The 27,659-nt window shown below is 38.0% G+C and overlaps 1 protein-coding gene and 1 long non-coding RNA gene across 11 annotated transcripts in view; one reads left to right on the forward strand and one right to left on the reverse strand.

Moving 5' to 3' along the window:
* Positions 1–21,382, forward strand: part of LOC105374113 (uncharacterized) — a 69,117-nt gene extending 47,735 nt beyond the window's left edge. For all 3 annotated transcript variants that reach the window (XR_007096089.1, XR_007096088.1, XR_007096090.1), the window contains 4 exons: positions 15,743–15,958; positions 19,147–19,309; positions 21,103–21,162; positions 21,306–21,382. This is a non-coding gene — a long non-coding RNA (uncharacterized LOC105374113). The remainder of the gene's footprint in view (positions 1–15,742; positions 15,959–19,146; positions 19,310–21,102; positions 21,163–21,305) is intronic.
* The window catches only part of CPNE4 (copine 4), a 506,038-nt gene that overhangs the window by 316,976 nt on the left and 161,403 nt on the right, over positions 1–27,659 (reverse strand). The window lies entirely within an intron of this gene.

Consider the following 27,659-nt stretch of genomic DNA (forward strand, 5'->3'; position numbering starts at 1 on the left):
ACTTCTCATCTTATGCAAGGAGCTATTACAGCTATGTGGAAGAATAGCCATTTAGGTATGTAACTAAGATTGTTCAATAAGAATTTACTGACATCCTATTATGTGCCAAGTACAGCACTTTATTAGGGACACAACATCTGTAAGGCATGGTGCTTGGCTTCAGTGAACTGATAGTGGAGGATATGCTGGGTAGTATTTTCAGTGTTTTGCACATATCATTTCATTTAACCCCCATAATAATCCTACGAGATTTTATCCCCATTTTGTAGAGTGGTTAACCAGATCCAAATCATACATCTAGTAAGTAACAGAGTGGGAATTCAAACCTGGGTAATATGATTTCAGAGCTATGCTCTTAACCATTTTGCTGGGATAATACCCATTAAAATTAAATATGTACATGCTCCATGATGCAGCAATTCTACCTCCTCCCACTTCTCCCGCACTTGTGTACAAGACAACATAAGAACCTTCACTGCAGAACCATCTATTATATTGATGAACTAAAACAACACAATGAGGGAATGTACTGAAAAAATGTGCATTGCATCATAGCATTTATATGATATTTTAGATTCCATTAGGTACATGTATGTATGTAAATACATAAGAAAATTCACCAAATGGATTACCTCTTGGGAGCTGACTAGGAAAGAAAGTGAGTGATTTATAAGGACCTAGACATTATCTATAATGTTTGAAGGTTTAAAAATGAGACTATATTTGGATATTACTCATTCAATTAAAAATTAATATTTTTAATCTCTCCTTAACAAAACTCAGTGAGAAAATCCAAAGGCTGATTTGAAGAATATTCTATGAGCTTAGCACCAGCTGTGTAACAGTTGGGCACAGGAAATATAACAAGCTGAAAAAAATCAGGATTAGACAACTATAAAACATAGATAGGACCATTACCCTCCAAATGAATCATACACACAGAAAGGTTCCAAGGGGAGATTAACATGTCAGTAAAGAAGGGTTTGACTTCCATGCTCACATTTATACAGACCGGTGTAACAAATTTTATAGAGTCACTTCAAAGAAGTTGGTGATGATAGCGATGGAGAACAGGTTTTCCTTGTGCTGAACAATTTTAATAAGCCTCCAAATAACCAGCATTAAACAGTCAGTATTAGAAAGAGGAAGGCAGAGCAATCCAGTGGAGGAAATAGCTATCTTGGCTTGAAGAGACCTGGTTTCTATTCCTGGCTTTCCCTCAATTCAGTTACCACCTGCAGATATATAGAATTTTATACATAAAAGGGGTCTTTTAGAACATATAGCCTTGTTACTTTATAGATGAAGAAACAGAGACATGGGCAGAAGTGGATTTCCTGGCAGCAAAAGATCCTAAACTAGGATTCCAGCCCTTTCCTGATAACCGCACAGTCTTATGAATGACCCCTCCATTCATGGGTGAAAATGGAGCCACATTGACACCAGTCCACACCATGGGAAGCTGTAGGCACTCTGACTTATGCAAGGTCAAGCCTGAACTTTTTATTAAGCAAAACCTACTTTTGAAAGAGACATGGGAGAACAAATGCATATACATTAATTTGTTCACTCATACGTTTTATTCTTAAAATATTTTCTATGTACTTACAGAGTATTAAGGGTATGATATATTAATAGGCCCTTTTAGAGATCAGAAATAGATTTCCTACCAGGAAATAAATCTAGTAGAAAAATATGATGGTTGTGTGTCACTGCAATATTAGCACATGTAAGCAATGTAAAAAAACCCATCAATATACAAGAAGGATAATACATTATAGGTAAGTGGGTTTCATCTCAGAAACACAGAGTTGGTTTAATATTTGAAAATGAATCAATAGAATTCATCACACTAAAGAATAAGGGAGAAAAGCATACTGTCACCACAAGAGTTGCAGAAAAGTTATTTGATAACATTTTAAAACCTAGTCATGTTAAAACCTCTCAGAATATTGGAAAATAAAACTTCCTGAGTGTCATAAAGCACATCTATGACAAACCTGGAGCTGACACCATATTTTATGGTGAAACAATAAACATCTGTTCTGAAGATCAGGAACAAGGTAAAGATTTCTACTATCACTCCATCTTTTCAATAGTGTACTGCATGTTTCAGCCAGTGCAACAGACAAAAAAAAAATTAGATCAGGAGTGATGTGTCATTACTTACATGCAATATTATTTTGTACTCAGAAAGTCCCATAGAATCTAAAACAAATAAAACTAATAAATAAATTAGCAAAGTCACAGGATACCATTTCAATATACAAAAATCAATTGTATTTTTGTTTTTAATAATAATACAAAAATATAATAATTTAAAATAAAAATAAATAAAATACCTAGGGATAATCTTAGCAAAGCATGTACAAACTATATGGTGAAAACTATAAGTAACTGTTAAGAGAAATTTTTTAAATATTTTAAATAAAAATGTAACATGTTAAGATGTCAATTTTCCCCACGTTGATAGATTCAGAGCAATCCCAATTAAAATACCAGCAGAATTTTCTGAAGAATTGACCAGTTTATCCTAACATTTCTATAAAAAGTCATGTGATCTGTAAGAGCCAAAGCAATTTGAAAAATAAGAATATTGGAGAGCTCAGATTATGTGAATTCATAAATTATGAAAATATAGTAATCAAAAAGTGTGATACTGATATAAGGATAGACAAATAGATAAATGGAAAAGGATGGAGTTTAGAAATGAATCTATACAAACACTGTACATTGACTATTTTTCAACAAAGGCACTAAAGCAATTCAATATGGAAAAAAGCGTAAAAATATTTTAACAAGTGGCACCGAAACAACTCGATACTTGTGTGTGTGTGTGTATACTCTCAAATCTTATCCTATAAACAAAATTAATTTGAGATGGATTATAGGCTGAAAGAAAAGCTAGAACTATAAAATGTCAAGGAGAAAACACAAGAGAATATTTCTGTGGCTTTGGGAAAGACAATTATTTCTTGGGTAAGATACAACATGCAATAAACATAAAAGAAAAAAATAATATATTGGATTAATCAAAGTTTAACCAAACTTTTTTTCTCTTAAAGGCACTATTAGAAAATGAAAAGGCAGGCCATTGAATCAATATTTGCAAAACAAATATTCATAGCATAGGAAGAACTACAAATCAATAAAAATACAAACAACCCAATTTTTAAACTTATGGTTGAAGATGTGAACAGATGCTTCATAAAAGAAGATGTATAGTAACCGATAAGTACATAAAAAGATACCCAACATTATTTAGTCATCAAGGAATATGATTTAAACCACAGTAATATTTCATGCCCACTAAAATGGCTAAAATGAAAAACACTGACAATATCAAATGCTGGCATGCATGTAGAGCAACTGGAAATCTCGTTCACTTTTGCAGGGAGTGTCAAATAGTATAACCACTTTAAAAGACTGGAGTTTCTTATAAAGTTAAATATGCATTTACTATATGACCTAGAAATTTCATTTTTATGTATTTTCCCAAAAGAAACAAAAATATTTGCTCATTTAAAAACCTGTATAAGAATCTTCATCTCAGCCTTATTCACAATAGCTAAAAACCGATAATAGCACAAATGTCCATAAAGGGAGAATGAATAAAACATATTTTAGTATATCCAAATAATAGAATACTACTTGGGCCACACTATGGATATTTAAAACAACACAGATAAATCTCTAAAACATAATGTTGAGAGAGAGAGTGGCCAAACAAAAAAGAGTACATTTACATGAACTTCAAGAACATGCAAAACTAATCTATGGGGATAGAAATCTGAGTAGTGGTCATCTTCTTGAGGAAGAAGAGCTTGTAAGGGGAAAAGGGCATGAAAAGATTTACTTGGGTGATGAAACTATTCTATATATTGTTTTGGGTGATTTTTACCTAAGTGTATATACATGTCAAATGACTATGCATTGAACATCAAACTGAATCAGTTTGTGCTCCTGGACAAAATTTTTATATGCATATTTACTTCAATTTTTTAAAAAATTGGTTAAAAATGGTTCCCAAAATCCCAAAGAGGAAAAATTCTATTTCAGGATAAACAACCAACATTTTCACTGTCATCCATGTAAGGCATCTACATTATCCATTCTATTACCAAAATAAAAAATTATTCAACATCTTTAGGCAGAGGGTGTGTGTCTGTGATTCTTTTATTTTCTCTCCCTCCATCTTTATTCTTTTCCTCCGTTCTTCCTTTATTCCCTCTCCTCTTTCATTACTCCCCACCCTCCTCCTCCTCCTCCTTCTCTCCCTCCTTTCATTTCCACTTCCTTTCCTTCTTTTTCTTTTGAGGGTCCCTAGAAAATTGGAGAAGATTATTTGAACAGTACCATTTCACATAATCCAATTATTTAAATTATATGCATCTATAGCATAATAAACAAATGTTTGCCTATCAAACCTTTCTCCATGGGCCTGCACAAGCCTACAACCAAGATACGGTATTTCTGTAACTTCTTTTAACAAGAATCCAGTGAAAAGCCAGATTCAAGAGAAAGTATAATAGCTTTTGTTTTAGGTCAGTGTATTTCACATAAGCCTCTTTCTGGGTCTGAGTTCTCAACGTTCAAGAAAATAGGATGGGTGCCTGATATCAACTGATTCATTTTCACTTGTTAGGTCTCTCTCCTTTGGGCCCCATGGTACTCATTGCTCTGTGATTGGACAAAGTCTTAGATCTCCCACTTGGGCATTGGCTAGCATATGTTAAGGCATTGAAACTTGGTTCTGGCACTAATCTCTTATCACTGCAGTAGCAATGGAATTGTGCCCACTAAGGTTGGATTCAATGAGTTGACAGAGAGGGAACAAAAGCTTAAGGGTGCCCATCTACAGCTTCTACACACAAGCAGATATTTTCAGCTCTTGACTTGCCAATAATTGTTCCATCTTTCACAGCACTCTAATTGTAAAGTAGTATAAAGTAGTCTCTATGTTTCATGAAGGTGGCTTCAGATTTTGCTTAAAAGAATCTTTTTCTTCTGGCAGCTCTACCTTCTTGAATTGGTTTAGAACACATCAGTTCCATTGTCTGTCTCACACTCATTCCTTGCACAGTTAGGTAAAGCCTGGGCTCTGGAGTTTCTGTTTTGATCGAAGTAGTTATTTGTTCTCCTAACCGTGCCTTGTGAGGGTGTGTGTGTATGTGTGTGTGTGATGAAAATACAGTCATTTAATTTTGAAGAATTTGTTTGGGTCTCTGCTTATAAAGACCTCTTCCAGACATTGCTCAGCTAAATCCGTCATCATATATCTGGCTGTATTTATCATCATTATCTCTGCAGCCAAGCCTGATTCTTTCTAATAAACAAATATTGAGTTAATATAAAATAAAATTTATTGTAAGTTTATTTCTGCACTTGGTCTCATATGCCTGCCTTTCTGAGTTCTCCTCTGACTGAATAACCACTGAAATCAGAAATATATTTGAGATTTAAGCCAACAGGTATTTTGCTCAGACTGGTTATCCTATTTTCCAAGATTCTCAGTATTTTCTAAATATCTGGCCTCAAAACACAGGCCAGGAACTTCTGATAATACAATCTGATACAAATAAAAGGAAAATCACCAATATCAAACTTCTGTCTATTAAGTCTATTCAAGTTACCAAACATCTTTGGTGTACCCAATATGTGTAGAACCTAGAAAAACATAAACGTGTTTTATGTTTATGGTTTATGTTTATAAAAACATAAACCATGTCTTACATGGTTTCTACATAGTCATCTCTTGAACTCCTGGCCTCAGGCATTCCTCCTGCCTCAGCCTCCCAAAGTGCTAGGATTACATGTATGAGTCATCATACCTGTAATCTGGCTAGTCATCTCTTTCATAGGGATCACATACTCACTCCGTCAAAGTTCAGATGTTTTAAAAAAAGGCGTCACTGTGAATGAGCCAGGAAATCAAATATATCATACATTCTAACACTCTGTAGTTGTACAGAATATAATGAATATTTGCTGTTGTCTAGAAGATGGGATGTTCACATCCAGTTTCTGCGCTAAGGTCCTGGAAGAGAATAGAACACACATGTGGATGGGAAACATGGTAAATAGGTAAAACCTACTGAGAAATGATGGAACCTTAGAAACATTGTCCACAAAAGGACTTTCCAAGCATGATCCTTCCTGGCTAACAATAAAAATTATTAATATTTATTGAATGCTTACACTACATAGCAGGCACTATTCTAAAGCTTTATGCCTTAAAGCATTTGATCCTCCCGTGAGGTAATTGCTGTTGTCCCTATTATACAGATGAACAAAATTAAGCACAGAAAACTTACCCAATGTCACAGAGCTAATAAATAGCAAAGCTGGCATTTGACAACCATCAGGTTGTTGAGCTTGTGCTCTTCCCCATGATGATATATGATTTCATTCATTCAGTGGAATAAGAGGATATATTTTTATTAATTATTTCTGTTTATAAGACATAATGCTTCAAGTATATACATTAGCATCCCTGACTTACATCATATATACATACCACCTTGGAGCATGTGTCAAATCTTTGCTTCAAGGATTGTGCAATGAGAGAAAGATTAGAAATCATGTTCTTCTATCCTTCTCATTCTTTAAACAACACCTTATTGAAAGATACTCTGTGCTAATACTAGTGCAAGATTCTAGTGTTTTAAAAGTGTATTCAAGGAAATTACCCTTTAGGCCAATGCGTATCATATATTTTTAGCATCAAAACTGATTGTGGGTGCTTTCTTCACTCTAAAAATCTTAAATAGAACCCTGCAATATAAATTAGGTAAACGTGAAGAGTGGGTTCCTGCAGCAGTTTCATCATTCACTGTTTGGCAGGAAATGCTTCCTTATTTTTAAAGTTCCCAGAACAAGTCAGTGGAGCCCTAGGGTTGGTAAATGTTTGGCTAAACAGTAGGATGCAGTAAAGTGAGCAATGAACTGGGAACTACTAAAATTGATTAGCTTGACTTTGGGGGGATATTTCTCAGTCTCCCTGAGCCTTATTTTCATTTTAGAGAAAAGATCTGGGTTCTGGAAATTCTCTAAGGCCTCAGATATGACATTCTACAGTTATAGATAATTGGTGCTGGTTGGCTCCAGGATGGGATGTTCTTTCTAGTGCCCACTTTCTAAGAAAGGGTCAATGAAAGAAATATTCTGTGGAACAGCAGAGGGAAACCCTGTTACGGCCCTTCATGCCTCTCTACCTCCCATCCTTTCTGCTGCTCAACCAGGTATACTCCTAGACTAATTACGTTGTAGAATCCACTGAAAAATCCAATACAATCCTCATTTCTCCTAACAACATAGCAATTTCCAGCAGGTGTTAGGTGCTTAAAAAAATAAAAGAAAGAGTAAAAACTTCACACCAGATGTAGCCCATATAAATATTACCACACAGGTGCTGGGAAGAGAATAAGTTCTCTAAATTATGCAAATAAGTCTTCTTGACAATTCAATTTTTTAGAATAACCATATATATATTTCTTTAGAGATTTTTTATTAATTTAAAAATATCAATGATCCATGTTTGCAAGTTAATTTACACAATTATATCTTCAAACTTCTCTCAAAGTCTTAAAGCCAAGAGAATTAAAGCTTTGACCATGATTTGTCCTCTGAGAACATAAGGAGTGAAAAAAGGTTGAATCCATTGCATTGAACAGGTAATGCAAAAGCATCATTTCAATTCCAGCTTCATACTTTCCTGCCATTCAACCCTATCAACAGATCCATTAATGAAAATAGTTGAGTTGGTTTTCTCCTTTTGTATTTTGTTCTCTATTCTAATGAACTATAATTTAACTACTACTCAAAAGACAAGCAGCCCCAGATAAAAGATAAGAAAACAGAGAAGCACAGATCATCTACATAGAAACTTGGATAAGAAAAGTTGGTTATATTCACAATGAGATAGTGTTTGATATTTACTGTAAACACAAGGAGACATGCTTTTATTTTACTTATCATCCATAGTGGCCCTTTTAGAAATTGGCATGAAAGATATCTTAGGTATCATGACATTCTAAAACTTTTATAAAAACTTTTAGACATTTTTCTCCCTTGAATGTCATCACACCAGTGAAACATTTGGAAATGATCACTCTCAAATTCTTCCCAAGGTTATGGCAACTTAAATACTATGAGTGCCTAAACCATTACATAGTGGCTACATAATCTTAGCAGCAAATGGAGCAAAACACACCTAGGAGTTGTGGCTATAAGGCAATAACGTTCATTATACAAATCACCAAAATCAATCTTTACAAAATTGCAATTTGACATCAGGCAACTCTCCACAAAGGGATGCAAACACTTTGAGCTTGAACAACTCCTTCCCTCTTAAGCAGTGCTTTTAGGAAGCTTTAAAAGAGAAAGAGTAATGTCTGGACTCTGCTCACCAAAATCTGAATCTCTTGGGAATGAGGACCAGCTATTTGTATTAAAGTTGAGAATCACTGTCTAACGAAGCTAGTGGAGCTGTGGGAATGATATTATTAGAGTTCAAAAACATTTATTATATTTTTCTTAACTTATAAAGGACATGTTTACACAAGCCAAATGATGTAAGTGTCAGAAGTCATAAATGAGACCCATGCTAAGAAAGTCCATGCACTGCAGTCTGTCCAAGAGAATCCTGGTGTATACCTGTTGGTTCAGTGTAATTATAAACAGCACTCCATTTTATTTCTAAAATATGAGAATTTATATGGTAACCTCATCCATGAAGCTCCCCAAGATAGCCAGCCACAAATCCTGGCTGGGCTCCTTATCTTGTTCTTATGTGATGGCAACTCGCTGTTCCTCAAGATGCTCTTCTCTATTCAATACTCATCATTGTAAACCACCTACAGTTGACTTCCTTTTGGCTACTTTTGCAACCCAATCTAGCCTTTTTCCTTTGTCCCTGTTTCAATTACTTTCCCTCAAATTTAGCATCTATCTCAGCTACACATTAGAAACTTCTTGAGAGTGGGTGGTGAGTCAGAGAGGGCTAAATATTCCAACACCCAGGCCACACTCCAGGCCAATAAAAGTAGAATCTCTGGGGGTGGAACTTATGCATCAGCAATTTTTAAAGGTCCATAAATAATTTGCATTATAGGCAAGATTGAGCACCAATGGTGTCCACAAGATTCCAATAAACAGCTAATGTTGCCAACCACTGAATTACATCCACTGCAGATGACAAGTGTCCCTGGATTCAGTCTATAATTCTGCTGATACCCAAACGTCTTTAGTTTCTCAACTTTATGCTAGAAAGAATCTCATATGTCAGATTCTGTAGGGAAAACATGCAAAGAGAGGCATTCACCTTACTTAAATAAATTGTACTAATACTAACCCAATAGATCATAGGCCAGAAACTAAATAAAATAGAAAATATCAGTGCAAATCCATCCGCAGAATGACTCCATCATTCCACACTATTTAAAGTCAGCAATAATCTCCCTCATTCCTTTTTTCTTATCCTCAACAAATCACCTTGTCCTAGGTTTTATCTTATACATACATATGACAACCCCAAAGTCATTATTTAGACAAACTAAGGCACTTTGGTCTTTAACTGTCATCAGTCAGTCCTTCTGTGTCTGTAAAGTTATGTTGGTGCATCACACAACAAAGCATGAAAACAAATGTCTCCATAAGATATGTTTGGGAGATAATGATGGTCACAGTAAAAAGCTAATCCGCCAGAGTTAGTAGTTTAGTTATTGTTACTAAGTGGCAAGGATAACATTTTAGAAACGGTACATATATTAATTGAGGGTTACTGATTATGTAGAACCCAAGCGGAGGAAAGGGACAAGACATGAAAAATCCAAAAACTAATTGAGCTCATTTTAATTATAGCTATAAAACACAACAAAGAAATGGCAGGATCTGGAATGGGAAATAGTTGAGACAATGTCTAGATATTCTTCAGATTTTCTTGCCCCAACTCAGAGAATTAAGACATCTGGAAACTGTATTTACTTCCCCTCATTGAAGCTCTCCACACATTTTAACAAGGCATTTAATGAAAACAGTGTGAACAAGTTGGAAAGCATACATGGCCTTAGGTCAGATAGACTTTATTTTGAGTCTAGGTTTGGATTACATGATTAAATTAATCAAACTCAAAGAGTCTTGGTTTTTTTATCTGGAAATAGGGGTTATATTGCTTATGTCACGGAAGATGCTAGAAGAATAAAGTAACTACCTATCGTCTGTGTGCCAATCAATGCAAACAACAATGACACAAGTAAACCACAGTTTTAGTACACAGAAGATACTCACAACTGACAGTTGAGTTTGGCTTTGCATAAATACCTGATTTGTGAGTTTGTCTTTAATCTCTGAGAAAAAAGTGCTCTGTCCGACTTCTGGACATCAGTGCAAATGCTACTTTCCTAAGCAGTATCCCATGTCTAGTATGTCTTGCTGCTTCTGTCATCACTGACTTTCTGTCCACTTCATATAAAAGTGAGTTTGAGTTTTATTCTTAAGTACAATCACACATATATTAATATTTCCATTTTAGACTTTCTGAAACATACATATATATAACCAAACTTTATAGAAAACCACATATTTGGAGTCAGTAGTGATTGTCAAACATTCCTTATTGAAGACATTGTTATAGGCTTGGTTCAGTTCCATTTGATTCAGCTCAACATAGGTTATTGTTTACTGCTCACCAAAAAGTTGTGCTTTCAAAAAGTTTATAGAATAAGTGCTCAGGACTGAGTCTGATTCTGCTGCAGAAAACTCTCCTGATTCAAAGATTAAGGATTTGAACTTGCAAAATTCCTCTTGCTTTTTGTACAAGTAGTCATCTTATGACTCTGAGTTTAGAATATCTCATCTTTGTGTGTGTGTGTGTGTGTGTGTGTGTGTGTGTGTGTGTGTGTGTGTGACGGAATTTTGCTGTTGTTGCCCAGGCTGGAGTGCAATGGCACGATCTCAGCTCATGGTAACCTCCCCCTCCCGGGTTCAAGCGGTTCTCCTGCCTCAGCCTCCCAAGTAGTTGGGATTACAGGCGCCTGCCACCATGCTCGGCTAATTTTTTTGTATTTTTAGTAGAGATGGGGTTTCACTATGTTGGCCAGGCTGGTCTCGAACTCCTGACCTCAGGCGATCCACCGGCCTCGGCCTCACAAAGTGCTGGGATTACAGACATGAGCCACCAAGCCCGGCCTAGGATATCTCATCTTTTTAAAGGAGAAATAAGAATATATTGGAAATTGTTAGACTTGAGAACACTAATGGGACATTTCCTTTAATATAATAACAAGGGAATTCAGGAGCATAAAAATGGGCAAGCTTTGGCCAGAAAATGCACAAAAGATAAATAAAGCCATAAAGCTAGTCTACAGTTTCCTAGAATAGTAAAAGAGGGAGTTACACTCTGCATACTAATGAAGCGAAGTGAGGACACCAATATTTAGACATCATCTCCCTACTCAGGATTAAGCAGAATTTATTCAAGTCCCAGTAGACACAGATATTACCCAGGGGCTCTTTTCTTTGCAATTTTTTTTTATTCTATATCCTTTCTTTGAACAACATCAACGAGATGTAGAGCAAGAACTTTGGTACATTATAAACCTATATTTGCAGTCCAGAGACATTTCTGTGTTTTAGGAATCTAGTTCAAGTTGTCTTCTTGGTCTTTGATATCTCAAATCTCTCATAATTCCTATCCTGACTCTTGAGAGTACCACGACAATATTTCCTGGTACAAAATTCTCAGTCATCTTGACTCCACCTTCTTCCTCGCCATGCATATAAGCGAGACTCCTAGATTTGATAATTCTCCCATAAAATTTCCTAAATCTGTCACATCCTCATTGTACCCACAGTTCCTGCTCTAGCTCAATACCTCATCTTCTATTTTCAAAATATCCTACCAGGTTCTTCAGTGGTTTCCTTACCTCTGGTTTCTCCCCCAACTAATCTACCTCTTACATGGCCACTAATTGATCTGTCAAAAATCCTAAAATTCTTATATGACATTCATTTTGATCCAAACAAATATAAATGGTTTCCTGAAGGCTTATATAATGCCATGTACTATCTGGCCTCAATTCACCTATCTAGGCCTCATCTCCCGTCCGACCAGAAAATCATGTGTATTTCAGTCATGGCATTTTCTTTTAAGTTCTTATATATATATATATATTTTTATTATACTTGAAGTTTTAAGGTACATGTACACAACGTGCAGGTTTGTTACATATGTATACATGTGCCATGTTGGTGTGCTGCACCCATTAACTCGTCATTTGACATTAGGTATATCTCCTAATGCTATCCCTCCCCCATCCCCCCACCCCACAACAGGCCCCAGTGTGTGATGTTCCCCTTCCTGTGTCCATGTGTTCTCATTGTTCAATTCCCACCTATGAGTGAGAACATGCGGTGTTTGGTTTTTTGTCCTTATGATAGTTTGCTGAGAATGATGGTTTCCAGCTTCATCCATGTCCCTACAAAAGACATGAACTCATCATTTTTTATGGCTGCATAGTATTCCATGGTGTATATGTGCCACATTTTCTTAATCCAGTCTATCATTGTTGGACATTTGGGTTGGTTCCAAGTCTTTGATATTGTGAATAGTGCAACAATAAATATACGTGTGCATGTGTCTTTATAGCAGCATGTTTTATAATCCTTTGGGTACATACCCAGTAATGGGATGGCTGGGTCAAATGGTATTTCTAGTACTAGATCCCTGAGGAATCGCCACACTGACTTCCACAATGGTTGAACTAGTTTACAGTCCCACCAACAGTGTAAAAGTGTTCCTATTTCTCCACATCCTCTCCAGCACCTGTTGTTTCCTGACTTTTTAATGATCGCCATTCTAACTGGTATGAGATGGTATCTCACTATGGTTTCGATTTGCATTTCTCTGATGGCCAGTGATGATAAGCATTTTTACATGTGTCTTTTGGCTGCATAAATGTCTTCTTTTGAGAAGTGTCTGTTCATATCCTTCGCCCACTTTTTGATGGGATTGTTTTTTTCTTGTAAATTTGTCTGAGTTCATTGTAGATTCTGGATATTAGCCCTTTGTCAGATGAGTAGGTTGTGAAAATTTTCTCCTATTTTGTAGGTTGCCTGTTCACTCTGATGATAGTTTCTTTTGCTGTGCAGAAGCTCTTTAGTTTAATTAGATCCCATTTGTCAATTTTGGCTTTTGTTGCCATTGCTTTTGGTGTTTTAGACATGAAGTCCTTGCCCATGCCTATGTCCTGAATGGTATTGCCTAAGTTTTCTTCTAGGCTTTTTATGGTTTTAGGTCTGACATTTAAGTCTTTAATCCATCTTGAATTAATTTTTGTATAAGGTGTAAGGAAGGGATCCAGTTTCAGCTTTCTACATATAGCTAGCCAGTTTTCCCAGCACCATTTATTAAATAGGGAATCCTTTCCTCATTTCTTGTTTTTGTCAGGTTTGTCAAAGATCAGATAGTTGTAGATATGCGGCATTATTTCTGAGGGCTCTGTTCTGTTCCATTGGTCTATATCTCTGTTTTGGTACCAGTACCATGCTGTTTTGGTTACTGTAGCCTTGTAGTATAGTTTGAAGTCAGGTAGCGTGATGCCTCCAGCTTTGTTCTTTTGGCTTAGGCTTGACTTGGCAATGCGGGCTCTTTTTTGGTTCCATATGAACTTTAAAGTAGTTTTTTCCAATTCTGTGAAGAAAGTCATTGGTAGCTTGATGGGGATGGCATTGAATCTATAAATTACCTTAGGCAGTATGGCCATTTTCACGATATTGATTCTTCCTACCCATGATCATGGAATGTTCTTCCATTTCTTTGTATCCTCTTTTATTTCATTGAGCAGTGGTTTGTAGTTCTCCTTGAAGAGGTCCTTCATGTTCCTTGTAAGTTGGATTCCTAGTTATTTTTTTTTCTTTGAAGCAATTGTGAATGGGAGTTCACTCATGATTTGGCTCTCTGTTTGTCTGTTATTGGTGTATAAGAATGCTTGTGAATTTTGCACATTGATTTTGTATCCTGAGACTTTGCTGAAGTTGCTTATCAGCTTAAGGAGATTTTGGGCTGAGATGATGGGGTTTTCTAGATATACAGTCATGCCATCTGCAAACAGGGACAATTTGACTTCCTCTTTTCCTAACTGAATACCCTTTATTTCCTTCTCCTGCTTGATTGCCCTGGCCAGAACTTGCAACACTATGTTGAATAGGAGTGGTGAGAGGGGGCATCCCTGTCTTGTGCCAGTTTTCAAAGGGAATGCTTCCAGTTTTTGCCCATTCAGTAGGATATTGGCTGTGGGTTTGTCATAAATAGCTCTTATTATTTTGAGATACGTCCCATCAATACCTAATTTATCGAGAGTTTTTAGCACGAAGGGTTGTTGAATTTTGTCAAAGGCCTTTTCTGCATCTATTGAGATAATCGTGGTTTTCGTCGTTGGTTCCATTTATATGCTGGATTGTGTTTATTGATTTGTGTATGTTGAACCAGCCTTGCATCCCAGGGATGAAGCCCACTTGATCATGGTGGATAAGCTTTTCGATGTGCTGCTGGATTTGGTTTGCCAGTATTTTATTGAGGATTTTTGCTTCGATGTTCATCAGTGATACTGGTCTAAAATTCCCTTTTTTTTGTTGTGTCTCTGCCAGGCTTTGGTATCAGGATAATGCTGGCCTCATAAAATGAGTTAAGGAGGATTCCCTCTTTTTCTATTGATTGGAATAGTTTCAGAAGGAATGGTACCAGCTCCTCCTTGTACCTCTGGTAGAATTCGGCTGTGAATCCATCTGGTCCTAGAATTTTTTTGGTTGGTAATAAGCTCTTATATTTGTAATGCATATTAGTCCTTTTAAAAATGCCCTTCACCTCCTACTTTTTGTGGTAAACACCATCATATTCTTAAAGACCCCTCCCAAATCTCGCATTCTTTATAAGGCCTTCTCTGTGAGTTGCAGGTGGTTTTTCAACCTGTCCCATATATTCCCATATAATCACCCCTATAAGGGAGCCATCACCCTACAAGATAATTATTTGTTTATGTGCCTGGCTCCTCCACTAAAGCTACTTCTGAATATGGGCTGCATCTTATCCATCTTTGTGCTTCTGACCTCCACCACCAACAAACAAGGCATAGCAGACAGCCTGGTATTGAGTAGCATGCCATACACATCTGTAGACTGAAAAGCAATTTAGCACGTGTACAAGTTGGGCTCTCCAAGAAGCAGACCTGGAGAGAGATCCTAGTACATAGGTATTTATTAAGGTGTGCCTTTGAGACCAGTACCTGTGGATGGGAAGAATAGAAATCAGGAGTGGGCAGAGGGAAAAGTTAAGCTGTGATGTAGGCCCAGTGACAAGCCACTGACACTTCTATGGGGAGCTGTAAATAGACCTTTGGCATTGTCCCAAGTTGGGCCAATATGGCCAGGCCTTTACAGGCTCACACATCATTTATTGCTTGTGGGCCACTCCAGGAAGGTGCATGACTTTGGGTAAGGAGGCTCTCTGGAGCTGAGGTAATCCCTGAAAGGACTAACAGCTGAAGATTGTCTGCTGAGAATACTGCCGAAGACTAAGGCAACAAATTCTTCCACATACAGGATCTGGATGGCACATCACAGTGCCCAAAATAAAGGCTGAACTTATTTAGTTATAATCTGATCAGTTAGGAATTGCAATCAGCTGAGAGTGAGAGAGTCTCCACAACAGTGATGCAAACTCATCACAGGCTTTTTCTTTTAACAGGAATTCCGGAGCAAGGAAGTTATTGGCATTCGTTTAGTGTACCACAATGCTAGGGCTGAGGCCTCCGGGATCCTCTGGGCCTTTTTCATGGTTGAAAAATGACAGTGGCAGCTTCATTCCTTGTGCCCAGTTCCAGAGAGGAGGAATGAGAAAGGAGCAAGAAGAAAAGGCTGACATCTATGGGAAGCCAAACTTTTTCAGGAATCCCCTGCTCAGGTTTGCTCAGGCTTGTTTGACATCTTACTGGTAAGAGCACCATTGCATGGCCAGCCCTAGATTCAAGGGAGGCTGAAAACTGTAATTTTACAGCTGAATACTACTGCCTCTCTCTCATATGCCCTCAATGCAGAATTCTTTCAGTGAAAAAATAAACAATGGAATCGGGTAGGCACTAGAAATTTCTGCTACATAAACTCAGGCTGAAGAATCCAGGTTCAAAAGAAAAATAAGTGACATGTAAAAAGATCAGATAACATGGAAACAGGGAAGATTCATAAGGTAATTGCTGTTGTGTAAAGTGACTATTTCTCACTTAGCACAGCAAAATTACGCGAATTAATAAAGTCTGCCAGAGGAGATTAAGGAAAGACAAAGGCATACAACCTGACACAACAGAGAACACGTTGCTGGGACAAAGAATCAAAGTCATCTTAAATTAAAGAGGGCACAGAAGAGAATAACAGAGAAAAGGCCAAAACAGGAATAAGACACCACCTGGCATTAAAACAAAACACCAAGCATAAAACACAAAGACTGCAACTACTAGTGAGCAGCAGTCCTTAGAAATTCAGGTGAGAAGTCAAAAAGGCAGCTGGTGGGGCTGCAAGTGTGTTAAAAGTTTGTTGCCAGTGTTCATAAAAGAAGTTAAAGGTTACATTTTGAAGATAGAAATAGGTTTCCCTAATGTGGGGAAAGAGGTGTAAAGAGGGCTGTGACACACAGGAGGAACTGCCTTCCCTCACCCGCTCTTTGGGGCACAGCTGTTCGGAGCAGGTCAGAAAAGCTAAGTTGACAAAAAACATCAGGAGGTGATAAAGTGAGAACCCTGGATCCAGAATGCAGCAAACAAAGAATGAACAAAAAGTTAAACAGATTTTAAGAATTAGATAAGAATTAAATCAAGGTATAGCCAAAGAGTGGCCAATATTAATTCTATGATTAAGAAGGAAAGGACACAGAGGCAATGTTGAATGAGCCACTGTGAATTTTAACTCCAGTCCTGAAGGAAGGCATGCGGGTGGGGGGTCTCCTTGAGAGGTCAATTCGTCCAGCCCTCCATGCAAATGCCAGTCCCTTGTGTTCTCAGAAAATGCTAGTAACTTTCCTACCACAACTGCCTTTGATAGTTTAATTATCCCTCATACTATAATTTTTATTTGAGGGAGGTAGGGCACATGCAATGGACAGGATATTGAATATTCTGCCAAGGGTGCTGAGTTTTAATTCTGGTTCTGCCACTAACCAATTTTACAGCCTTGGAAAAATAACATCCTCTCTTTTGACCGCATTTCCTCATCTGTAAAATGAAAGAGATGAACCATCTCTCTCTTGGTCCTCTTCATCCTCTACGTTGATGGATAATGAATGATGTGTTTTCCTCACAATAATCCTTCATAAGACAGATCTCAACAATAACTCACCAGAATGACACTTTACCTAATAATTGCTGTTTGAGAAATGGACAACCCTAGTTCCTTCAATCTTTAATTTTTCTGCATTTCTACCCATAAAATATAGTAGTAATGATATTCTAATAATGAAAACTGCCAAAAATACAGGATTTAACAACTTGTAAAGTTTATTTGTATAAATCTTCTCACTTGATAGTCACAATATTCAGATGATGGAGGTAGCAAAGATTTGTTAATTGTCCCCTGATGTCATTTCTTTTGTCTTAAATAGGTCCCTCATTTTTTATCTTGACCCATGGCCACCTGAAGTAAAGCCTATCTTTCCCAGCCCCCTACCACAGTTAGGCGTGACACCTCTCTACGTTCTGGCAGAAGCACCGTTACAATTTTCAGAAAGGCCCTTAAAGAGAGGCAGGCATGCATATCTTTCCTCCTTCCTTTTTCTTTCTGGCTGAAATGCAGACTGACACGTGGAGCTCATGTAGATCTTGAACCACAGGGTAGAACTGCACGTGGAGAATGGCGAAGCAAAAGGATAAAGAACCTTGATTCCTAGTGACTCCATGCATCTGCTTTAGCAGGCTCTGGAATTCTTTAATATGTGAAAAAAATAAATTTATGTTTGGTTTCAATAACTAATGCTTTTATTTACTTCACTTGCAGCCCAAATAAATTCTAACTGACACAATTATAGAAATTATTACTTTTATTTTACAGATTTAATAATTTGCTGAAAATTTCAATGGGGCTAAAATTTGAACATAGGGCACTTCTGACACCTAAGCCCAACACACTTCCTACTTCTCTCTAAATAGATAATAGTAACCATTGGCAGGTGTAAGCTGAAAGACAAACCCTAATGGAACATCCATCAGTGATTAGAACATCGCAGGAGTAGCTCATGTTGTCCTCCACATAGAAAAACATTCCTATGACAAATTAGAGTGAACGACCGTCTCTTTAGAATTGAGTAGATATTGGACACCACCTCTGTAAAGGACTCATATTCTCCCCAAAGTATCTAAGTAAGAACTAGGAGGAAATCAGAATGCAGTATCAGAAATGTTAGGCAAATGATCAAAAAGTACCACGTTACCAAGGTTGCTGTGAGGTGCATTTCAAAGCCTTTAAGAAATAAGCCAAGACTTCAAGGGGAATTTTTTAGGAAATAGAAAAAGAAGTCCTTATTTCTCCTCCCACACCCCATTCTCTCAACCCCTCCATATCAGCTCTAGTTCTTTTGGTTTTTGTCTGTTTTCATTTTTTTAAACACCTGGACAAATCTTATCACTTCCAGAAAATGAAGGGATGGGGAACTCAACCTTGCTTCTCACTGTGCTGAGTGAGCCCCCAGACTCCACATTGTTGGCTTAGCTTGTAGTGTTGTGCTCTGACAGCCCTTAGCAGCTGAAGCATAAAGAATAGAAATAATATTTCAGGATTTTATTAGGACTATTAATTTTTTTCTCTTGTAGATAAAACTCTTCAATATTTCTAACAGTAATACTATTATCTTAGTATATGAATGGCACCTATGATGCTCAAAACAGCTGTGATAGCCCATTCACTATGAACAGCAGAGATGGCTGAAGCCCATTAGTTAGCTCAGCTTTTCATAACTTAAGAAAAACCTGCCAGCCATGTATCCCTCACTTCTACATATTTTATAATAATGGAACATTTTTAGATAAAATCATAAATAAAAGATGCTGCTGAGTTTTTGAACAATGCATTATATGTTTTGTATTTTATTTTGACTTTATTTTTTCACAGCACAATCATAACTACATAGATGATTACAGTTGTATGTTCGGAGAAAAAGAGGAGAGAGAAGACTAAGACTCATAGGAAAGAATCCTGCTTTTATTAATCATTCATACATATTTTCATTTATGTTTTGAAAGCCAACAACATACCAGGCTGTCTGTTTGGCACTGTAAGTACCACAAAAGCATAATACAATAGGCCTTTCTCTCATGGGGCCTGTAGCTTGAAGGTGAATACAGATAATTAATAATTAAAGAGTAAAATATGCCATTGTCTACAACATGAGACATACAAGGGAACATATTTAGGGTTCCTTAATTTTGTTAAGAAGGAAGGAAGAGCAACATTTTGTTGTGGGTAGATAGGGAAGGTTCCTCAAGGAAATGACAGCTAAGCTATGACTTGGGGATGATAAAAAGAGGGACCTCAGAAGAACACACAGCATGGGCAACTTTCCAGGAGCCTCTTAGTGGAATCACAACAGGATACAATCCTAGGGCTCACATGGCTGCCTTACCCAAAACAGGCAAAACACTTCCACTTATTAATAATTTGTTTATCCACTCAGTTATGAAATATTCACTCAGCATCTAATTTTTGCCACACACTGTGCTAAAATTTTAGAGTTAAAAGGATGACTAAGATATGGTTCCTACCCTCAAGGAGCAACCGGTCTTGTCGACAGAAGCCATACTTACACAGATTTACGATATGAGGGCTTTAGCTGCTAATAATCAGGCACAAAGAGGGCACAATGTGGTCATTAAAAGACAAGTGGTTACAATTTTGAGGTGAGAGGACAAGAAGTTAGTGGGTGAGGGGATCAAAGAACAGGGAAAGGAAGTCAAGGAGAAAAGTCCAATAAACTCTGCATGAACAAGTACACAGCAGGGCTACACCACTTCTTTCTCCCCTTCTCCTTCCTCCTTTTCTTTTCTCCCCCTCCTCTTCCCCTCCTTCTTTTATAAACAGCCAACTTCCAAACTTCATTAGTTTTGTTGGGACATATTGTTCCCCCGAAACCAGCTTCTTTTAGATGTTCTGAGAAAGGATGCTAATTAATGATGGTGCTACCAGAAGGTTTCTATTTGGAATTCATTAGACTCAGGATAGCAGATAGCACACTAAGCCACATTAGAGACGCACATAGAGCCACTGTCTGGTGGGGGAGTGGATAGTAAGATTACTCAGCCTGAAGAAGAGAAGGCTGGAAGGTAATTCAATAATTGTCTTCTAGGTGAACACAAGCTTTTGTTGAACATCCTCCATGAAGAGGTCCTACTGATGTTTAGTGTGATAAGGGGTGGGGAAAGACAATAGTTTGGGAAACCAGTTATTAAGCCACTTTAGTAGTCCATGGAGAAAGTTCCAAGAGTTCAGAGTAGGGGGAAAAGAGATATGAAGGAATGAATGAAGAAAACACATTGCAGAGGTATAAAGTAATCCCTGGATGAAATAAGAAGGGTAAAGGAGAAAGAACTAGAAACAGAAAAACATTTATGACTATCTCTTCCAAGCTGATGGTGGCCAACGGTCTTACAATTCCATCAACTGAAGATGGAACAGGAGAATGACTTCCTGTGCCCTGGAAGGTAATCTTGGTTAAAAGATAAGAATCAGTGGGATTTGCCCTGATAAGAAGAGTTGCTGGAAATTGAAATAAGATATTCTAAGGATGACTGAGGAGTCTTCTTGGAGATCTTTAAGAATAGGGCTGTCTTATCAGATTTCAGCACCGAGAATGCTCTTCAGAATGCTGAAAACAGCTAGCTGAGCAGAGTTGCTGACATCTTAACATCTTTTTCCTCAGCTTTTTATGCTCACACCCTGGAAGCATGCGCTATCCTGCTTCATTGGGGAATGAAGTGTATCAACATTTTCTGTGGGTCCAGATAGAGCAGGAAGTAGGAGAACAGTGGGTGAACTAGTCTCAAAATAACATACCCTCATTTCTCTCAACAGTAATATCTTCAGTCTGACCGATACCAACTTCGGTTTTCTTGTGGAAAAAATAAGGATGTGGTAAGTTCAGACCCTTAACATTCGAGAAAACCAAACATAATGAGCTACTGGTAATCTTCTAGATATAAATCCACCTATTACCTCTGGAACTATGACTGACTTTACCTTGTACCTGAAATTATCTTCTCTTTTTCATTGACCAGCTCCTCCTGGGCATTCAGAATCCAGCAGGAACACTATCGCCTCTATGAACCCCATACCAGCCCAGGCTAAGTAAGATGCTGTGGTAGATTACATTTTCCAAAGATGGCTACACCAAGATATATCCTGCCCCACATATCCTTCTTATACCATGACACTGACACGTCTCCATCAAGAGATGAGATCCTTGTTCCCCTACCTTGACCTGGGTGGACCTTTGTAACTGCCTCAAACAACAGTGTGACAGAAGTGCATGACCTCTCAGATGTATTTGTCGGGGTTTTCCAGAGAAACAGAATCAATAGGATGTATGCGTGTGTATGCATGTGTGTGCGTGTGTGTGTGTGTAGAGAGAGAGAGAGAAACAGAGAGAAAGAAGGAGAGAGAGAGAGATTTATTATAAGGAATTAGCTCACATGATTATGGAGACTGGCAGTTCACAAGATTTGCAAGGGTGAGTCAGTGAAGCTAGAGACCCAGGAGAGCCAATGGTATAGGTTCAGTCTGACGACCAGCTGGTCCAAGAACCAGGAGGACTCAATGTTTCAGTTCAAGTCCAAAGGCAGGATAAAGCTTATGTCCCAGTTTGAAGGCAGTTAGGCAGGAGAAATTCTCTTTTACCTGGGTGAGGGTCAGCCTGTTTGTTCTACTCAGAACTTCAGCTGTTGGATAAGGTCCACCCACTTTAGGAAGGGCAGTCTGCTTTACTCAGTCTACCAACTTAAATGTTAATCTCATCCAAAAATACTCTTCTAGAAATAATCAGTCACCCTGTGACCTAGTCAAGTTGACACATAAAATTGAACATCACGTAAGACTAAGTATAAAAAGCAGTATGACTTCTGTCTGGTTCTCTCTGTCTCTCTCTTTATCTCTCGGGATAATTGACTTGGGAACCCAAACACCATGTTGTGAGGAAGTTCAGGCCATATGAAAAGGCCATGTCAAGATATTCTGGGAAACACCTTTAGCTAGGCCCCCAGTTAATATGTCACACATGTGAGTGAATGACCCTTCCAATAATTTCGTCCCTCAGCCTTCAAATTTTCTAGCAAAGACTCCAGATATCATGTAGACAAACTAACCTTTATGTGCCCTGTCTTAATTCTTCACCCACAGAAAATGTGAGCAATAATACATGATTTTTCTTGCTTCAGGCCGCTAAGGTTTGAGGTAAAGTTTTGCACGGTAATAGAAAATAAATAGTGATACCATCTTACATGGTCCTACATATCAACTTTTAATGAAAAGATAGCTCTTATCACACTATGTCATCATTCCATTTACTTTAACTATTGCAAGATTGGGAATTCTCAGATGGCTAGGACCATGCCATCTCAACCTTTTCTCTTTGTTTTCCCAGTCCCAAGGGTGAACAGTGCTTTCTGGAGTTGCTCTTATTTGCCTTTTCACATCCTTAATTCCTAGTGAATGATTCTTTATATTAAATTATCTCTCTTAAAATAATGTGTGGTTTCTTTCTTCTGACTAGACCCTGATTGATATGGTGGGGATGGAAATTATTACTGTGGCAAAGCTGGGCTCTGAGATTTGGCCAGAGAAACCTGAATTACTTCCCTCCCTCTTCTTAGATTTGATTACTTATCTGAATATTCTGATCTTTGAGATCAAGCTCTACCCCACTGGCTCTATAACTAGATCTTGAGACCACTCTGAGGCATCTGGTGTTCTTGAGACTTTATTTAGAGAAGATAAAATTCTGTCGTATGAGAAACACTTCGTTTAGCACATCTTTTTGCCTAGTTCATGTTCACAAATATCTATGAAACCCTGACTTCCAGGATATGTGCTGAAAATTCAGTAATGACTAATGCCCAGTCCCTGCCCCTGAGAAGTCCACTCTCTAGAAGGATGACTGACCCATAAATGGACCTTATCACTCTCACAGTGTGATAAGAGATGCATTGAGCCCCAGGACAGCGGGAAAGTGGTAGTACATCCTGTGTACCTTCTCCCTGGCTCCTTGGCTTCCTCTTTCACTACCTGTCCTCTTGTCTCCTTTCTCAGGCCATTCCTGAGAGAACAGCTGTGGGAAGAGGAGTGGAAAACTAGATAACCTTCCCCTCCACCTCCAAATAATTTTTGTCTATCTATGATTCAACCTCCACAGTAAAGTGTTTGTTCAATGTGGAATGTGCCATTTGAACATTTCATCTCAATTTTAAAACTATTTCAGTGCCTTGGGGTCTGAGATTTACTTATTCCTTCATTCAGTTGTTTCTTTTCTTTTTTTTTTTTGAGACGGAATTTCGCTCTGTCGCCCAGGCTGGAGTGCAGTGGCGCAATCTCGGCTCACTGCAAGCTCCGCCTCCCGGGTTCACGCCATTCTCCTGCCTCAGCCCCCCGAGTAGCTGAGACTACAGGCGCCCTCCACCACGCCCAGCTAATTTTTTGTATTTTCAGTAGAGACGGGGTTGCACCATGTTAGCCAGGATGGTTTCAATCTCCTGACCTTATGATTCGCCCGCCTCGGCCTCCCAAAGTGCTGGGATTACAGGCGTGAGCCACCGCGCCTGGCCTCAGTTGTTTCTTTGACAAATATTTAGTGAGCACCTACCACATACCAGGCACTGGGCCAAACACGAGGAATAAAAATGGGGAATGAGATACAGCCCAGGCCTGAAAACTCTCTCTGTTGGTTGTATGACCCTGGTAAAATCACAAGGTCTCTAAGTTTTGGTTTCTTTACTAGAAATGAAGGTAACACCACTGACTTCACAACTTTGCTGTAGAGATTAAATGAATTTATGTATCTGAACATTCTGCAGATAAATTGGGCTGAATTTAAAATAAAATGATGCTACTTCATATTCATTGTTATATTTAATATATTCACTTCATTTAAAAACCTGTTTCACTGAAATCATTTAATTACAACTTCATGGTAAAAAAATGAAATTTAAACATTCACATCTGGAGTTCCTTGTGACAATGGGAAACGTTGGAAAAAACTGTGGCTTAAAGTCAAATTAAACATTAAAAAAGGAAAATCACGTGTATATAATTGATGAATATTTCTCACATACCTATCTACATCTCAGACCCCAAATCTCCACAGAATGTAAGATCTCTACACTGACATTTAAAGCCTTTGCAATCTGGCCTTGACTAAGGAGATTTGATAACATGATACCCTTTAATTGTCACAATAAATCTATGAAATAGGCAATACTCCTGTTGTACAAACCAGAGATCTGTAGGCTGAGATACTGAGCAACTTCCCTAGCCCCACTCAATGTGTAAGTAAAATATCTGGGATTTCATCTTTAAATTTTAAACTCTGAAATCCATGAGTTTTCTTTATAGCATGAGGCATTTGTCACAGAAGGCACTAAATAGATACATTATCACTTAAAAAAAAAAGACTAAATCTTTCAACCATTGTGGAAGTCAGTGTGGCGATTCCTCAGGGATCTAGAACTAGAAATTCCATTTGACCCAGCCATCCCATTACTGGGTATATACTCAAAGGATTATAAAACAAAACATGCTGCTATAAAGACACATGCACATGTATGTTTATTGTGGCACTGTTCACAATAGCAAAGACTTGGAACCAACCCAAATGTCCAACAATGATAGACTGGATTAAGAAAATGTGGCACATATACACCATGGAATACTATGCAGCCATAAAAAATGATGAGTTCATGTCCTTTGTAGGGACATGGATGAAGCTGGAAACCATCATTCTCAGCAAACTATCGCAAGGACAAAAAACCAAACACCGCATGTTCTCACTCATAGGTGGGAATTGAACAATGTGAACACATGGACACAAGAAGGGGAACATCACACACCCAGGCCTGTCCTGGGGTGGGGGGAGGGGGGAGGGATAGCATTAGGAGATATACCTAATGTTAAATGACGAGTGAATGGGTGCAGCAGCACACCAACATGGCACATGTATACATATGTAACAAACCTGCATGTTGTGCACATGTACCCTAAAACTTAAAGTATAATAAAAAAAAGACTAAATCTTTGGGGTGTTGTACAAAGACAATCTGTTTAAGAAACCAATTTGCCATTTGTCATTAGAAATTTCATAGGGCTTTTACAAACTTAAACAGTTTCTTAGGTTTTTGTTGGTTGGAATTTTCATTGTAAATACTCAGTGCAGTTAAAATAGAAATGAGCCATCTTTCTAGAGGTAAAGAAGTTCCCATATTTACCAATAACAAAAACACATAATATTTATCTAGTTTATAAAAAAACTACAAGGTCAGGTGTGGTGGCACACGCCTGTAGTCCCAGCTACTCAGAAGACTGAGGCACGAGAATCGCTTGAACCCAGGAGGCGGAGGTTACAGTGAGCCGAGATGGCACCCCTGCACTCCAGTCTGGGCAACAGAGCAAGACTCGGTCTCAAAATAAATAAATAAATAAATAAATAAATAAATAAATAAATAAATACGAATACAACCAAATGAAAGGCATGCTCTTTATTTTTTGTGAGAATGTTTTATTATTATGAGACATTCTTTTTCTCGGCCGGGCGTGGTGGCTCACGCCTGTAATCCCAGCACTTTGGGAAGCCGAGGCAGGCAGATCACGAGGTCAGGAGATCGAGACCATCCTGGCTAACACGGTGAAACCCCATCTCTACTAAAAATAGAAAAGATTAGCCAGATGTGGTGGCGGGCGCCTGTAGTCCCAGCTACTCGGGAGGGTGAGGCAGGAGAATGGCGTGAACCCGGGAGGCGGAGCTTGCAGTGAGCCAAGATCGCACCATTGCACTCCAGCCTGGGCGACAGAGCAAGACTCCGTCTCAAAAAAAAAAAAAAAGAAAGAAAGAAAGAGACATTCTTTTTCTCTGTTTCATTGAGTGTGTGCACATGTGTGTGTGTTATCACCAATTTTGCTAAAGGTTAATCTATGTAGTAACTGACAAAAGGTGGCAGGGCCTAATGAAGTGTGAGTACATCACTAACCAGAAGACCTGCTAGGAATCACACAGCAAATGCTCCCTAAATCACAGTGAGTACCATGTAGAAGATGCACCAGCACCAGCACAGGGAATTATCTATTTTTCCAAAACCATTCTAGTGCTATTTTCCCCAAGGCTAAAAATGAGTTGATTCTGCTTGCTGTTTGTAGTTTCTTTTCTCTAACAATCTACAGCAAATAATGTACTTTTTTTTTTTTCTTGACACCAAACCGGCATCCTTCTCCCTTGCCTTCCTCTGCTTTAGGAGTTTCAAAGCTAATGATTAGTTTTCCATCCTCTTTTGCATCTAGTAGTAACCAGTGACACACTGGCCATTAAATGGCCATTGAGATATAAGCAGAAATCAACTGAGCAGTGTTGTAGGGACAAAATTTTGTCCTTTAAAAAAGGATTCCAGACATGGATGATACAGCCTTCTGCCCGTTACAATTTTTCCTGCCTAAAATGTCGATACATTTGGCAATTCTGTCAAATTCTGTGTCCAGGGGGCAACAACCATGAACACAAAAATGCAGAAAGCTCTCTAGGGAGGGGAGAAAAAAGGTAAGAAAGAATCTGGGCTCCTGGTGGTGATATGGAGCAGCTGACGCAAACCAGAAACTTCTTGTTACATGTGAAAAACCCTATTTGTTTAAGATCCTCTAGCCTAGTTTTCTGATACTCGTAGCTGAAAATATTCTTAGCGGGTACAGGGATGCAATGTTGATTGCTATGAAGCCTATGACATAATGGATGATGATTATAATAAAAATGAGTCAAGAATAGTATTTTGAATAAAAAGATATCACTAATAATATAAGTAATAATTGTAACAGTATAAAGCTCCACAATACATAGTAATGAAAAAAATATGACTATAATAGCTGAGAATTAATAGGCCACTGGCTACTATTATGATAATGACTGTAGGAGTAAATTGAAAACAGGTTAAAAGGACAATGACTGCTGAGGTTGGGGACACATATACAAAATGGACATGCAACTGGTCTTTAAATGAAACATTTATTACACAGAGGTATGTCACAAAATAGGACACCCATATACCCAGCAAATATATAAAACTGTCCATCTTCTTATTCATAAAAGGTATGCAGATTAAAATCCCATTGAGACACTACTACATATTCACCAGGATGGCTAAGATGAAAAAGACAGGCAATATAAAATGTTGGGGAAGATGTGGAGCAATCAGAACTCCTACATGCTACTGCTGAGAGTGCATATTGGTACAAACCTTGTAGAAAACTGTTTGAAAATCTCTACTAAAGCTAAACATAGTCTCGCCTATCACATTCCTAGGTATTTATCCAAAAGAAATGTATCCATATGCTCATTGAAATGATCTACAAGAATGTTTATAGCAGAATAATTCTTAATAGCCCTA

Source organism: Homo sapiens, chromosome 3, assembly GCF_000001405.40.
Source record: "Homo sapiens chromosome 3, GRCh38.p14 Primary Assembly".
In the NCBI taxonomy this organism is placed as follows: domain Eukaryota; kingdom Metazoa; phylum Chordata; class Mammalia; order Primates; family Hominidae; genus Homo; species Homo sapiens.